The 17,672-nt window shown below is 37.5% G+C and overlaps 1 pseudogene across 1 annotated transcript in view; it reads left to right on the top strand.

Annotated features, from left to right (window-relative positions):
- Positions 1–17,672, top strand: part of GTF2IP8 (general transcription factor IIi pseudogene 8) — a 63,889-nt pseudogene that overhangs the window by 19,531 nt on the left and 26,686 nt on the right. The window contains exons 3-4 of the transcript XR_007066431.1: positions 1,429–1,486; positions 6,251–6,354. The product of XR_007066431.1 is annotated as a general transcription factor IIi pseudogene 8, transcript variant X1 (transcript). The remainder of the gene's footprint in view (positions 1–1,428; positions 1,487–6,250; positions 6,355–17,672) is intronic.

The following is a 17,672-nucleotide window of genomic DNA, read 5'->3' on the forward strand; positions in this document are numbered from 1 at the left end:
TTTCTATTGTTTTTTTCTTGGATTTGACTTCTCCATTTGGCGAGCTGTCATTTTGACAGGGGTTAACACCAAAGATCATCTTTCTGGAGGGCCATTTTACTAGAAAGCTTGAAGACAGCTGTGGTGGGATTTGCTTTATATTAAACCCAGTTTAGAGGAGAATGCAAAGTCCCCAGGTATACTGTTAAAGCAGGGCGTTTCAAAGTAACATCTTGCTTGGTTGCCGCTGTGAACTGCTATATCTTTATATTGTTGAAGCAGTATTTTTTTTCCTCTGCCATTAAAGGTATTAATTGTAAGTGCTTGAAAAGAACTTGTAACAAAGCACCTCTGCTCCTACTATCATTTATTTAGTTTTAGCTTTCAAAACATAGAGAAGTAACTGTTGTTTTATTTTTATATAACAGCACTTTAAAATGTTTATTTTTATGCTGTTCCTAAACAAAGTCATAAAGTCATCTCCATTACAGATCTTTCTGCTTATTTCAAACATCAAAAATTATCCATATGTGCTGAATAATTTTCACACTGTATGAAAGCTTCGGGTTTTCCTTATAATTTTTCCCAATATAGAATTTTGAATCTACATGGTTTAAGTAGTCCAGACCTTTGGTACCCAGATATGGGTGAATTAATCATCGATGACTAATATATATTTTATATAGTTTGAATTTTATTAATTTGTATAATGAAGGGAACTTCAGCCTGTTGTATTCCATGGGAAAGCAATCATCTGATGTACAGTGTTTACTTCCCAGCTTTGCAACTATAGTGACTGGAAATGATGAAGTAGTTCCCAGAATTTCAGTGTTAATTACAGTGTAGTACATCATTGGCACCTTGTTTTAGAAAAGAAAAACTTTTCAAGATTGGTATTACATTACCATCTACTTCAAATGCAGTTTAATTGTATAAGAAACATTGTTTTTACAATTTTGATTTTGAGTATTTTCCTACTAAACTATATCAAAGATATTTAATGTTTTCAAAACATGTTTTTGTAAACATGTTTTGAAAGAAATAAAGAAATGAATCACCCTAATAAATATTTTTAAATTGTTTTAGATCTGGGATATTGTAGCTGTTATTGTGATACTCTGTCAGTTTTCCTCTTCGGGGCCTCCAAGAAAACCATTTCCCAGTTTATGAAGAAAACCATTTACAGCTTCATCACTCAATTAGGAATTGCTCTCAACCACAGGAAACTGCATAGTCAAGAGTATGCCCATTGTGTGAATGCATCCTGAGGTCCATTGTTGTCCTATGGTGGGGATATCAAAGTTGAACTCTTACAACTCAATTTGGAGCAATGTGAAGGCTCATTTTAAGTCCAGAGCTGTTTATAGAATCAGCAGAATCCTCCATTGTCACCTTATTGTTTGGCAGCTTCCCCCTCTGTCTAATCCTGCATTTCTCACTTCTTTACAGGTGTGTATCTCAAGATCACTCCACAACAAAGATTCTGCCTGCAGTCCTCCACTTCAAGGTCTGTTCCAGGAAACCTGTGTAACACAGTTATGCATAGAGTGGTCTTAGGAAGCTGACTGTGACATGAAAATTTAGAGTTGGATCTTTTGCTGACCTATTGAATATTCGTAAGAGCATATGATACGTTTGTCTACCATAAACATGTCATTTCAAAAAACCCTCAAAGTTGCCTTGTAGAGCATAATTTTAAAACTAGTGTGTAGGAATATTTCATATCAGTTATTCAGTCTTCTTAATAGCTGAATCCAAATTAATCTTCCATTCTGCTTTCATTTATAAATAATATGATTTATTGTCAGATTCAATAATCTATATTTTCATTTATTCTGAAGTAGGAAATACCAGCATAAAAATAAATTGTTTGAAACAAATCACATTGTTGTCCCATTTTACCATTACTCACATGTAGAAGATAATTGTTTTTAACAAAAACAATAAGAGAAACAGAAACTACCAATTATTAACTGATGCTTACTGGAAGCTTTAGAAGGATTTTCTTATTTAACTTTCAATCAAGTTTTTCATGGACATTGTTGTTATTGACAAATAATTTTAATTTATCAAATCCTCACAGCAAATTGTAGGTGCCATTATTAACAGATTTTTTTTAAAAACCTGATTCATAGAAAAGGTTAATGATATGGTTTGGACTTTAACTCCATCAAATCTCATGTTGAATTGTAATCCCCAGTGCTGGAAGTGGGGCCTGGTGGGAGGTGATTAAATTATGGAGGTGGAGTTCTCGTGAATGCTATAGCACCATTCCTTTGGTGCTGTCTTGTGATTGAGTTTTCATGACATTTGGTTGTTTAAAAGTTTGTGGCACCTTTCCCATCTCTCTCTCTCTTGCTCTTCCTGCAGCCAGGTGAAGGGCTGTTCCCCCTTCGCCTTCTGCCATGACTGTAAATTTCCTGAGGCCTCCCCAAAAGCTGAGCAGATGTCATCATCATGCTTCCTTAACAGCCGATGGAATTACGAGTCAATTAAATCTATTTTCCTTATAAATTACCAGTTTTTGGTTTTTCTTCATAGCAGTGAGGAAATGAACTAATTCAGCTAGTAAGTGACAAATGCCATAAAAATAGCAAATAGCACACGAAGATATCCAACCTAGACTAGGGGACTCCAGAACCTAAGGATTTCTAAAAGCATAGGTTTTTAAGAGTGTGAAGAAACTAAGCCTGGGACACATTTAGGAACTCAATTACATAAGTAATAAAAATCATATATAGACTATTTAAATTTAGAAGAGGAGGAGAGGAGAAAGACGAAGAGGAGGAGGAGGAAGAAGACATTCTGGCTTAGCACATTTACTCTAGTCTGTAGGGAAAGCTCAGTTATACCCGTTCCCCACTAACCCTAAGAGGAGCTCTAATGTTCATAAGGGGCTTTCTCAAGGACTCAAATAAATCCTCAGGGATACAAAATAGGGTGGGATACCAAGCAGTAGAGTTGTGTGTGTCTCTCTCTGTGTGTGTGTGTGTGTGTTAGACAAATAGATGAAAAATTTTATTTTCTTTTGAGACATAATCATTTTGTTTGGAGAGTCTCTCTTTTTCTCTCAATTTTCTCTTTCTCTCCTTCTCTGTCTTTTTCTTTCTCACTTTCCCTTTGCAATACTAGTGAAGTAAGACAAAATGAAATGAGCATGGGGTCTTTCTCTAGCTTGATAGATCGTTTGTTATTATTTGTTTCTTCATTACAAACTGCCCTGTTAAACTTTCATGGCTTAAAACAAAATAATATATCTTGTTCCTGTTGGCAGCTTGTGGTCTTAATCCTAACCGGCCCTCTGATACCTTAGATTCTTTCTTTCCTATTTGTGAATAAAACTTCTGCTCCAGTAGGATGAGCCTGTTTCCCTTGTGACTGCCTGATTAATCTATTGTTTTATATCCCAGTTTTTAGAAGCAGGCAGATTATATTACTGGGATTAAAATATTTTTGACACTAAAGGTAGTATCTTCAGTTTTTACTTATAAGTTACTTTATGTACAGCTTGGATTAAATTACATGGATTGAGTTTCCATAGCTTTCACCATAGTGAAAATGGAAAACAGGGAGCATTCCACAGCAAACCCTGAACTTCTAGAGAGTTAATTGTCTGAGCAAAGCAAGCATTCATGCTAATTTGTTTGTGTGTGTGTGTCAGTGACAGATGAGCATGGTACTTGAACCATAATTGTACTTCTTCAGATTCCAATATCCAGTAATTTTATCACATAGATACACTAATATTAAATCCCTAAACCTACTTGAGTCTACTGTGTATTCATATTTTAAAATAATGTTTTCCAGCTTCCAAATATGTGTTATATTTTTTTCTGAATTAGAAACGTTATTTGGATTGAGTTAAAAGGATCAGTTTTTATATGTTTATTATGTCTTAAAAGTGTTTGCATTGTTACCTAGCTTCTCTTTTCTCTTTCAATGTGAATTTTTACTGGTTTATTGTATGTTGTTTATTTTCATTTTATGAAGCCATTATTATTTAGAGGGCAATGATGGAACAGTACCAGCAGAAATTGAAGTACCAGCAGAAGGATAGGAGAAAAAGAGATTTTATATTTTACTGTATTTTTTGTATTTATTTATTTTGAGACGGAGTCTCACTCTGTCACCACGCTGGAGAACAATGGCATGATCTCAGCTCACTGCAATTTCCGACTCCTTGGTTAAGCGATTATTCTGCCTCAGTCTCCTGAGTAGCTTGGATTACAGGCACACGCCACCACACTCAGATAATTTTTGTATTTTTAGTAGAGACGGGGTTTCACCATGTTGGCCAGGATGGTCTCGATCTCCTGACCTCATGATCTGCCTACCTCGGCCTCCCAAAGTGTTGGGATTACAGGTGTGAGCCACTGCACCCGGCCTGTTGTATGCTTATTCTATTTTATAGATTACATTATTCTTTTTTTTTTTTTTTGAGATGGAGTCTTGCTCTGTCACCCAGGCTGTAGTGCAATGGCGCGATCTCGGCTCACTGCAAGCTCCGCCTCCCGGATTCTCGCCATTCTCCTGTCTCAGCCTCCCGAGTAGCTGGGACTACAGGTGCCTGCCACCACGCCTGGCTAATTTTTTTGTATTTTTTAGTGGAGACGGGGTTTCACTGTGTTAGCCAGGATGGTCTTGATCTCCTTACCTCATGATCTCCCTTCCTTGGCCTCCCAAAGTGCTGGGATTACAGGTGTGAACCATCACGCCCGGCCAATTTTAGATACCTTATATAAGTAGACTTGTACAATATTTTTCCTTTTGTGTCTGGTTTATTTCCCTTAGCATAATGTTATCAAGGCTCATTTATAACACTAAAAGAATTTCCTTCAAAAAAAAAAAAAAATATATATATATATATATATATATATATATATATATATATATATATTTGTAGAGATGAGGTCTTGCCATGTTGTCCAGCCTGGTCTCAAAATTCTGGGCTCAAGTGACCTGCCCACATTAGCCTCCCAAAGCGCTGGGATTACAAGTGTAAGCCACCAAACCTGGCCAGATTTTTTTTCTTTTTATGGCTGAATAATATTCTGTGTATGTATATATTACATTTTCTTTATTCATTCACCTACTGATGGGCTGGGTTGGTTTTACCTTTTGGCCACTGTGAATAATGCTGCTATTAAACAGGTGTACAAATACCTGTTTGAGTCTCTGCTGTCAGTTTTTTTGGGCATATACCCTTAAAGGGTGTTGTTGGATCATATGATAAGTCTACGCTTAGTATTTTGAGGAAATGCCAAACCATTTCCCACAGGGGGCTGACATTCCAAACAGCAATGCATAAAGTTTCCAATTTCTCTATATGCTTACTGACAGTTAATATTTTCTGTGTATGTATTGTATTTTTATAGTGTTTGAAATTCATCTGAGGGTTTTTACTGATACCAAAATATTAGAAAAGGTTTTCCAAAGAAAATAATATGCTGTATTATAAAGACTTTTACATATTACGTGATGCCCTGTGATCTATTTTGTCAGTAAGAAGAGGAACTTCTCTCCACCCAGCCTCATTCCACTGCACCCACTCTTTTCTGTGTAGGGTTATGGACGGGAGTAAAGGAGCTTGGCACCTCTTTCCTGTGTTGATGTGGTAGCCCATCACTGGGTTGTAAAACGCCTTGCCTCCTCTTTTATTTGGGAGAAATATACTGGGTGACGTGTATTTATTTTCGGAGTGATACTGATCTAACTTTATGGAAGTAATACTAGCTAGAAAGTTAGGGAATGGATTTTCTATCTGATGAGAGTTTTGGGCAAATCGAATACCTAGTTTCTGAGCCTTATTTTTTCTCTGATGCAAGAAAACTGTAAATTAGGCAGTGAAAAACTCTCACAGCTCTGGATATGGGTTTAGGGCACTGGATTTTTACCACTTACTTTCTTTTCTTTGTGTGTGTGTGTGTGTGTGTGTGTTTTGTTTGTTTGTTTTTGAGATGGAGTCTCATTCTGTTGCCCAGGCTGGAGTGCAGTGGTGCGATCTCCACTCACTGCAACCCCTGCCTCCTGGGTTCAAGTGATTCTTCTGCCCCAGCCTTCTGAGTAGCTGGGACTCCAGGTGTGCACCGCTACGCCCGGCTAATTTTTTTTGTATTTTCAGTAGAGACGGGGTTTCACCATATTGGCCAGGCTGGTCTCAAACTCCTGACCTTGTGATCCACCCACCTCACCCTCCCAAACTGATAGGATTACAGGTGTGAGCCACCACACCCTGCCCACCACTCACTTTCTTACTACTTCTCTTGTGCAGGGATCATGGCCCAAGTTTTAGTGTCTACCCTGTCCATTGAAGATGAGGACTCCTATGAGAGCAGGATGGTGGTGACGTTCCTCATGTCAGCTCTTGAGTCCACGGTGAGGCCTTCCGTTCTAACATTCAGTAGTTCAGTAGGACTTGGTTGTAGATACGGTTGATTTGTTTTTGTAGAACATACAATTTTATGTTTTTAAGTTCTAATGAGTAGTTTTTTTTTTTCTTGAATAGTAGTTATGGTCAAACACTTCCAACCAAATGTGCGTGCAGAGTTTCTACACCAATTTTCAGACAATCTGGATACCAACCCAGTATCCCATGATTCCATTCTGACACTTCCTGGAGTTAGTGCAGACCGCACAGGTCAGGGCTCAGTCCCACAAGACTACCCTCACTTCAAATGCCAATTGCAAGCCCTGAGTTGTTACATGTTCTTTTGACCAATCAGTTAGAACCAGGGTCTCATGGCCCCCTTTTTGGGTGTTTGCTAAAACACCTTGTAGAACTCAGAAAACAGGTTATTTTCCTTTTTTTTCCTGAGATTCAGGGTCTCACTCTGTTGCCAGGCTGGAATGCAGTGGTGTGATCAAAGCTCACTGTAGCCTCAAACTCCTGGCCCTAAGTGATCCTCCCACCTCAGCCTCCCAAATAGCTGAGACTAATATAGGACTGCACCACCATAGCTGGCTATGTTCTTTTATTTTTTGTAGAGATGGGGTCTTGTTATGTTGCCCAGGCTGGTCTCAAATTTCTGACCTCACATGATCCTCCCACCTCAACTTCCACAACGTGCTGGGATTATGGACGTGAGCCACTGTGTCTCACCAATTTATTATTACTGGTTCATTGTAAAGGATGTATCCAGAAACAGCGAGTGAAAGAGATGTACATGCTGGGCACAGTGGCTTATGTCTGTAATCTCAGCACTTTGGGAGACTGAGGCGGGAGAATCGCTTAAGTTCAGGAGTTTAAGACCAGCCTGGGCAACATGGTGAAAACCCATCTCTACAGAAAGTTTTTGTAAAAATTAGCCAGGTACGGTGACATGTGCCTATAGTTCTAGGTACTCACTTGCTATTTAGGAACTTAGGAATTTTTCACTGGAATTCATGTAAAGAAAGACCATGGGCATTTGCAATGGATTTAGCATTCATCATTTGACTGCATGACTCATGCCAGAACCATAATTTTACTAATTTTTCAGATACTACTCAGCTGGGAACTGAGCCTAACCAGCAACCCACCCTCAACCATTCAGTGGTCTTTTGTTTTACTCTATTCCTCCTGAAAGTCCATTACTCTCAGAAGGTGATAAAAACTTGCATTTCTTTTTCTTTTTTCTTCCTAGAGACAGGGTCTTGCTGTGTCACCCAGGCTGCAGTGCAGTGGTGCGATCATGGCTCACTGCAGCTGGAAACCCCTGGGCTCAAACAATCCTCCCACCTCAGCCTCCCAAGTAGCTGGGACTACAGACATTTGCCCCTATGCCCAGCTGACTTCTTTGTTTTTTATTGTACAGATGGGATCTTACTATGTTGCCCAGGGTGGTGTCAAACTCCTGGCCTCAAGTGTTTTTTCTGCCTCAGCTTCCCAAAGTGCTGGGATTATACGCAGGTGGGAGCCACCTGTGTTCAACCCCTATTTTCTTTCTTTTTTTTTTTTCTTTTGGAGACAGAGTCTTGCTCTGTCACCCAGGCTGGAATGTAGTGGCATGATCTTGGCTCACTGCAAATTCCACCTCCCTGGTTCAAGCAATTCCCCTGTCATAGCGTCATGAATAGCTGGGATTACAAGTGCATGCCGCCATGCCTGGCTAATTTTTTGTATTTTAATAGAGACAGGGTTTTGCCATGTTGGCCAGGCTGGTCTCGAACTCCTGACCTCAGGTGATCTGCCCGCCTCAGCCTCCCAAAGTGCTGGAATTACAGGCATGAGCCACAGCACCCGGCCCCTTTAATGATTTTATTGAAATATGATTAACATATCATACAATTCATTTGTGAAAGTATGCAGTTCAGGCTGGGCACAGTGGCTAATTCCTATCATGCTGAGACTTTGGGAGGCTGAGGGAGGTGGATCACTTGAGTTCAGGAGTTTGAGACTAGCCTGGGCAGCAAGGCAAAACAGCATCTCTCTTAAAAATACAAAAATTAGCTGGGTGTGGTGGCTCATGCCTGTAGTCTCAACTACTCGGGGACATGAGGCTGGAAGATCACTTGAGCCCAGAAGGCATAGGTTGCAGTGAGACCAGATGGCGCCACTGCACTACAACGTGGGTGACAGAAGGAGACCTTGTCTCTAAATAACTAAAGAAAAAAAGAAAGTATACAATTCAGTGGTTTTTAGAATATTCAAAGAGCTGTGTATCCATCACCACAGTCACTTTTAGAAGTGATTACTCACTTATGAGTTACCCACTTATGAGTGAGAGACCCTCACTTATTAACTGCTACCTCCTACTTCCTCCATATTCCTGTGTCTTCATAGACGACCACTGATTTATTTTCTGTCAATGTAGTTTTGCCTAATCTGGACCTTTTATGGAAATAGAATTGTACAATATGTGATCTTTTGTAGTTTGCTTTTTTTTCTCTTAGCACAATGTTTTCAAATTTCTTTCATGTTATAGTGTATATCAGTATTTTTTTCTTTTTGTAGCTGAATAATAGCTTATGTTTATCCATTCATCAGTTGATGGACATTTGTGTTGTTTCTGCATATTGGCCATCATGAGTAATGCTGCTATGAACAATCATATGCAAGTTTTAGTGTGAACATATATTTTTATTTCTCTTGGATTTACACCCAGGAGTGAAATTGTTGCATTATGTGGTAAGTTTACATTCAGCCTTTGAATAACGGCCATGTTGTTTTTCAAAGTGGTTACACCAGTCAGGCACAGTGGCTCACACCTTTAGTCTCAGGTATTTGAGAGGCTGAGTTTGGAGGATTGCATTAGCCCAGGAGTTCAGGACCAGCCTGGGCAACATAGGGAGACAATATCTTGATTTTTTAAAAAATCAAATGACAAGAAAAGAAACACCCAAATTGATTACACCATTTTATGTTCCCACCAGTAATGTATGTGGGTTCCAATTCTTCCACGTTGTCACTAACTTCTTTTTTTTTTTTTGAGACAAAACCTTGCTCTGTTGCCCAGGCTAGAGTGCAGTGGCGTGAACATGGCCAGTGCAGCCGTGATCTCCCAGGCACAAGTGATCCTCTCACCTCAGCCTCCCAAGTAGCTGGGACTTACAGGTGAATGCCATCATGTGTGGCTGATTTTTACATTTTTTTGGTAGAGATGGCGTTTTGACATGTAGCCCAGGTCTGTGTCAAACTCCTGAGCTCAAGTGATCTGCCTGCTTCAGCCTCCCGAAGTGCTGGGATTACAGGTGTGTGCCATCAAACCCGACTGGTGTAACCACTTTGGAAAACAGCCACTGAGCCTAGCCTTCACCGATATACCAATATTTGTTATTATCTTTTTTTTTTACTTACTGTTTTTTATTTTAAAAAACTTAGATTTTTTGTCTGCCTTAGTAATTATAATAACAAACAATTTTGTAGTAGAGTCCCCCAAAAAAGTGTTTGTTGTTTAACTGAAATAGTTTTTTCTTTTAACCTGGATATATATTTTTTCATTTTCATTTTATTTTTAGTTTTATTTAAAAAAAATTTTTTTAATATTTTTTATTTAATAGGTGTTTCAGAAAAAGGTGGTGTTTGGTTCCATGAATAAGTTCTTTAGTTTTGAGTTCTGAAATTTTGTAGTACCCCTCATTACTCATTAAATATATATTAATTCATTATAAAGTAATTAATAAACCAAAGACTTTAGTAAAATGGAAATTTTATTTTAACTTGCAACCTGAGAAATAACTGTCAAAAAAATTAGAGAAATTACCATATTAAAGTTTGAAAATCTTGACCCTAGCAATGAAAACGCAGGTGCACTTAAGAACCACCAGCCCGCTGGTCAAGGTGAACAAAACTAAATAAAAAGCAAAAGAAAACCAAATTCAGGATTATTCGGTATTCTGTAATGCTATTTTATCTTGGGAGTCACAGGAAATGCTTCTTCTTCTTCTTCTTCTTCTTCTTCTTATTATTATTATTATTATTATTATTTTGATATGGAATCTCTGTCACCCAGGCTGGAGTGCAGTGGCACAATCTCGGCTAACTGCAACCTCTGCCTCTTGGGTTCAAGTGATTATCCTGTCTCAGCCTCCAGAGTAGCTGGGATTACAGGCATGCTCCACCATGCCTGGCTAACTTTTGTATTTTTATTAGAGACAGGGTTTCACCATGTTGGCCAGGCTGGTCTCAAACTCCTGACCTCAAGCAATCCACCTACCTTGGCCTCCCAAAGTGCTGGAATTACAGGCATAGGCCACTGCACTCAGCTGATTTTATGCACATTCCAAGTCAGAATACATTCTATTCTTGAATACTTTGTGAATACCCAAATCATAAGCATTTTGCTGGATGCATTCATAAATATTTTATTTAAAAAGAACATTAATTGAAGTTTTACACCATTTTATGATTCATCAAACGCAGCAACTGAATACTGGCATATAGCAACATTACAGAGGTTAGTCTAAGATAAAACTCATAAAAGAGTAAAAGGAAGGAAAGGAAAAAGGATACCAAGCTATATAAAGATTTTAAAAACAGGCCGGGTGCAGTGGCTCATGCCTGTAATTTCAACATCTTGGGAGGCTGAGGTGGGCGGATCACGAGGTCAGGAGATCAAGACTCATCCTGGCTAACATAGTGAAACCCTGTCTCTACTAAAAGTACAAAAATTAGCTGGGCGTGGTGGCACGCACCTGTAGTTCCAGCTACTCAGGAGGCTGAGGCAGGAGAATCTCTTGAACCTGAGAGGCAGAGCTTGCAGTGAGCCGAGATCGTGCCACTGCACTCCAGCCTGGGTGACAGAGTGAGACTCTGTCTCAAAAAAAAAAAAAGAGATTTTAAAACAAACATTATATGTCTGAATCTTTGCCTGGAGTTTCATATTTTGTGAAAAGCATTTTGTAAGTAGAGGACTCATAAGTGCTATAAGTCACCTAGTACACTACAATGGCATAGATGTGACAGATACTCAATGAAATGATTATAACTTCTGATGTATGTTATTTTTGTTGTTCATTTATTAATCTAGTGAAAGCCAGCCAATAGATGGAATGACATTCACCTGTAAAACTTCCAAGATCCCATCCAAGCTTAGTGTCCTCTGAAGTTCTCCATAATTGATTGTCTGTTCCCACCAACATTTAGCATAAGCTCTAGAAGCTTATATTGTTAATCATCCTTCTATGTTTATGTGCTGACTTGCAAATAAATGGGCCTATGTGGCCTTTATCTTCACAGCCCTAATAATATCTACATAATGTAATAAATTTGTTATAAACCTGATGTTTCATACAATTATGTCTTATCACCTATGTTCTGGTAAAAGAATTGCTCATTTTTGCTTAAGCTTTTCTGACTCTCCATTGCCTGCTGAATACAGTAAGTTCTTACTTAGTGTGAGGATTTAATATGTTCTTGAAAACTGTGACTTGTAATTAAACCAATTTTACCATAGCCTAATTGATAGAAATAGTTTCTATGGCATATTTCTGATCACAAAAACATCACCAAACTTGGAAAGCCCCAAAACACTTACAATATTAAACACTGAAATAAATGTGCGCTCTACATACGTTTAAGAAAAATTAGGTCAGGCTCAGTGGCTCATGACTGTAATCCCAGCACTTTGGGAGGCCCAGGTAGAAGGATCACTTGAGGTCAGTAGATTGAGAGCAGCCTGGCCAACACGGCAAAACCTTGTCTCTACTAAAAATACAAAAAATTAGCTGGGTGTGAGGCTGAGGCAGGAGAATCGCCTGAACGTGGGGGGAAGTGGAGGTTGCAGTGAGTTGAGATGGAGCCACTGCACTCCAGCCTGGGTGACAGAGCAAGACACCATTTCAAAAAATAAATAAATAAATAAATGAAAAATTAATAAAAATATTACCAGGGCCACCCTGATGAAATAACTGGCAAAGTTCTTTTTCTTACTGTGTTTCTTTAGTTTCTTTATTTGTAGACACAGCTGCATAAAGAAACCAGATGGCCCAATAGCACCAGAGCTTCTCCACCCCTGACCAGATATCAGAAGGAGATAAGATCTCCAACCAGCACAAACTTGAACAGGTGACCCCTAGTTGCTTTTAGATCTTTTTTTTTTTTTTTTTTTTTTTAGACAGAGTCTTACTCTGTTGCCCAGGCTTAGGTGCAGGGGCACCATCTCGGCTCACTGCAACCTCCGGCTCCCAGGTTCAAGTGATTCTCCTCCTCAGCCTCCCAAGTAGCTGGGATTACAGGTGTGTACCACCTCACCTGGCTAATTTTTTTTTTTTTCTATTTTTTATTAGTAGAGACCGGGTTTCACCATGTTGGCTAGGCTGGTCTTGAACTCCTCACCTTAGGTAATCCACCCACCTCAGCCTCCTAAAGATGTATGTTTATGCACTGAACCTATGCACCTAGAGTCCCACCTTGTACAGTTCTTAAAAACCCCTGATAAAATTGTGTATTTATTCTAGTGATATTTTAGTGAATCTTTTTTTTTTTTTTGCAGAAAATTACTTCATTTGCAATAATGACGGTTCTACTTTTATTTTACAATCTGGACAATTTTTTTCTGTTGTAGAATTTTCCTGGCTAATACTACAATGCTGAATAGAGTGGTTAAAGTGGAAATTCTTGTCTCTCAAACTTTCAGGTAAAGAAGCACAAGTCTGTCGCCATTAAGTATGATGGATGTTAGCTGTAGGTTTTTTATAGATACCTCTTAGTGGGTCTCAAAATCTTTTCTATTAGTAGTTTGCTGGGGGTTTTGTCAGGAATGATGCTTGATATTTGTAACTTTATCTGTATCTATTTAAAGGATCACTTTTTGTTCTTTACTAATATTGGGTATTATATTGATTGAATTTTAGATACTAAGTCACAATGACATTTACAAAACAATCACATTTGTTCTTGGTGTATATTCATATTTTATGTGCCTGGATTTAGCGTGCTAAAGTTTTCTGAGGCTGTATGTGTCTACATGAATATGGCATATTTGCCCACACACCTTCTGTTTATACTTGTGTCTGGCCTTAGTATTACAGTATTACTGGCCTCTAGAATGAATTGGAAAATATTCCCTCTTCTTCATTTTTTGGAAGTATTTTCTGCTGAAGAATTAGTATTAATTATTTATTGAATATTGGTAGAATGTTTTATATAGGTTAGTTTGCCCTGGACTTTTCTTTGTGAAAATATTTTAAATGAATACTTTTGCTTTACTCGAATAACAATCCATAATATATAAATATTTATTTTATATTATACTTTTCAGTTTACTTTTATAATTTGTACATCCAAGGTGTTAATTTCTAATTTATAACATTCCATGTGTAGTAGATTTTCTAGGCTGTTAACATGAAAAAATTAGAAATAATAGAGAGTGAGTGAGACTTCAGCCCAATCAATGAATGACCCAAAGTCTGTCTATTGTAGGATGAATCATTTAAATATGATGTTATCCTTAATGTTTACATTTTTGTGTGAGGAAAATAAGGTACTGAATCTAAAGGAAATTAGTAAAACTACCATTTAACTTTGGATTTTCTCAAGAGGGCAGAACAAGTAGACCTTCTAATTTTTGTTGCTACTTAACATAAGACAGAAACATAGTTTTTAATTAGAACAAACAATATGCCATTTGAAGAATGGTATGAAGATGATAACTTGATCAATAATTTTACTAGTACTTGCTTAGTGCATACAATATGTTAGGCAAGATTCTAAGCCATTACACACACACACACACACACACACACACACACACACACACACACACATATATATAGACCTTATGTATAATTGTTTAAGGAACCCACAGATTCATGAGCAGTGAAAAATTGACATATTCTCAATCTTAGTAACTTTAAAACTATCATAAAAATTTACTGTTTTGATTTACAATAACTAAATGTACATAAAACTATTAACTTCATTAGAAAGTTTGACTCGGCATGGAGATAAATGTGTTGCACAGTTGAAAAGTAACCATAGACACATTCTTATCAAATACCAAACAAAAGCATTTAAAAAAAGATTAGGAGGGAAAGATGCCATAGAATTTGTCACAGCAAAAATACAACAGAGCACACTTTTAGGCACTGTGATATGTTAATAAAAATGATCAATTAATGTGTAAACACAGGCCAGTGTGCTCATCATTACATGAAAAAATTTTAGAACTAGTAAACAAAGTCAGTAGGTTTGCAGGATACTATATCAATGTACAAAAAATCAATTGCATTTTTATACCCCAACAACAAATATCTGGGAAAAATCAAGAAGACAGTTACATATACTATAACATCTAAAATAATAAAATATTAGGCTGGTAATGGCAAAAACCACAGTTACATTTGCACCAATCTAATACTTAGAAATAAATATAATAAAGAAGGTAAAAGATTTGTACAACAAAAACTGTAAAATATTAGTGGAGGCAATTATAGAAAAGACAAATTAAAAATACTTAGTGTTCATGGATTAGAAAAATTAGTATTAAAACATTCATGCTGGCCAGGCATGGTGGCTCACGCCTGTAATCCCAGCACTTTGGGAGGCCGAGGCGGGTGGATCATGAGGTCAGGAGATCGAGACCATCCTGGCCAAAATGGTGAAACCCTGTCCCTGCTAAAAGTACAAGAATTAGCTGGGTGTGGTGGCACATGCCTGTAATACCAGCTACTCGGGAGGCTGAGGCATGAGAATTGCTTGAGCCCAGGAGGCGGAGGTTGCAGTGAGCCGAGATTGTGCCACTGCACTCTAGCCTGGTGGTAAAGTGAGACTCCATCTCAAAAAAAAACAAAACCAGAAAAAAAAACATTCATACTACTGAAATTGGTGTATATATTTAAAGCAATTTCTATCGGAATTTCAATAGCATTTTCAACAAAAATTAAAATCCACAGTTTGTATGGAATTACAAAAAACCTCAAATAAAGCAATTTTGAGCAAGAGGGACAAAGCTAGAAGCAGTATGCTGCCTAATTTCAAGCTATATAGCAAAGCTGTGGTCATCAAAACTGCAAAATATTGGCATAAACACAAACACATAAGCCAATGGAACAGAATAGAGAGCTTAGATATGTATAAAATATATCCATCTGTGTATGGTCAACAAATTTTCAACAAAGGCATATAAACACATAATGGTGAAAGAATAAACTCTTCAATAAATGGTGATGGGAAAATGGGATATCCATATGCAAAAACAAATTGCACCCAACCTTTACATCCTACATAAAATTAACTTAAAATATATTAAAGACTTAAACATTGGACTTGAAACCATAAATCTTCTAGAAGACAACACTGAGCAAAATTCTTTGGCATTGATCCTAGCAATAGTTTTTTTTGTATTTGACACCAAAAGCACAAGAAAAAAAAGTAGGACTACATCAAACTAAAAAGTTTCTACTGCATAGCAAAAGACCATCATAGACATTAAAACGCTATCTACAGAATTGGAGAAAAATACCTGTATGCCAAATATCAGATAAAGGATTAATGTTCAAAATCTGCAAGAAACTCATAAAACTTAAGCCCCCAAAATAAAAATAACAACAAAACGTAACACATACTTTTAAAAAGTAGCCAAAAAACTAGTTTTTTTTAAAGAAGCCATTAGTAATTCTGAGAAAAATGCAAATCAAAACCACAGTGAGTTAGCATTCAAACACATATTAAGGTGATATTTATCAAAAATTCAAAAGAAAGCAAGTGTTATCAAGAATATAGAGAAAAGGGACCTTGTACACTATCACCAGGAATGTAAATTGGTACAGCCGTTATGGAAGATGGCATGGAGGTTCATCAAATAATTAAAAATAAAACTATCATGTGATTCAGCAATCTCACATCTAAGTAAATATCCAAAGAATATAAATTCACTATCTTGAAGAGATATTTTCACTCCTATGTTGATTGAAGCATTATTAACTATAGATAAGGGGCCGGGTGCAGTGGCTCACACCTGTAATCCCAGCACTTTGGGAGGCCAAGGTGTGTGGATCACGAGGTCAGGAGTTTGAGACCAGCCTGGCCAATATGGTGAAACCCCGTCTCTACTCAAAATACAAAAATTTGCTGGGTGACAGCAGGCACCTGTAGTCCCATCTACTCGGGAGGCTGAGGCAGGAGAATTGCCTGAACCTGGGAGGTGGAGGTGGCAGTGAGCCTCCAATGTGCCACTGCACTCCAGCCTGGGCAACAGAGTGAAACTCCATAGGCTGGGTAACATAGCAAGACCATGTCCCTACAAATTAGCTAGGCATGGTGGTGTATTGCTGTGGTCCTTGCTACTTTGGAGGCTGAGGTGAGAGAATAATTTATACCCAAAATTTATAGGTTACAGTGAGCTATAATCATGCCATTGCACTCCAGCCTGTTGTTATATCTAACAACAACAAGAAAAAGGAAATGTTACATATACGTATTGTATGTATGTGCGTGTGTGTGTGTGTGTGTGTGTGAGAGAGAGAGAGAGACACAATTCAGGCCTTGAAAAAAATCTTGACATTTGCAACCACATGGATCATCTTGAGGGCGTTATGCTAAATGAAATAAGCCAGACACAGAAAGATGAATACTGCATTATCTCAATTATATGTGGAATCTAAAAAAGGGCTTGAATTATAGTTACAGAGAGTAGAATGGTAGTGACCAAGGGCTGTGGCTTGGGGGAATGAGATATTGGTCAAATAGTACAAACCTGTTTTATAAGATGAATAAGTACTGGAGACCTAATGTACAGCATGGAGGCTACAGTTAATGTATAGGTAAATTTTATTAATAAAGAAGACCTCAAATATTCTTATTACACCAACAGTAACTATGGGAAGTGATGAGTATGTTATTTAGCTTGATTGTAGTGATTTTATTGTATATATTTACATATACATAAACCACATTGTATACCTTAAATATATACAATTTTTATTTGTCAATTATAGCACATGTGGGAAAATATTGTGTAACCATATAGTATCTAATTACATGTAAATTTCATTTAAAACCCTTTAAAATAAATTCTAAATTAAATGTAAAATCCAAATTGACATATTTCCAGTCAGGGAGGTTCTAATGAACAAGCATAGTATAAAAGCTAAAATTGGATATTTAGCTAAAGTACCTTTCATAAATAAGAGTAAATTAAAATATATTCAAAAGTAAAAACATTGAGAAATTTGATTACCAAGAGAAGATTGTTAAGAGTATACTTCAAGGCAGGGTGCGGTGGCTCACGTCTGTAATCCCAGCACTTTGGGAGGCTGAGGTGGGTGGATCAAGA

This window comes from Homo sapiens, chromosome 18, assembly GCF_000001405.40.
Source record: "Homo sapiens chromosome 18, GRCh38.p14 Primary Assembly".
NCBI lineage: Eukaryota > Metazoa > Chordata > Mammalia > Primates > Hominidae > Homo > Homo sapiens.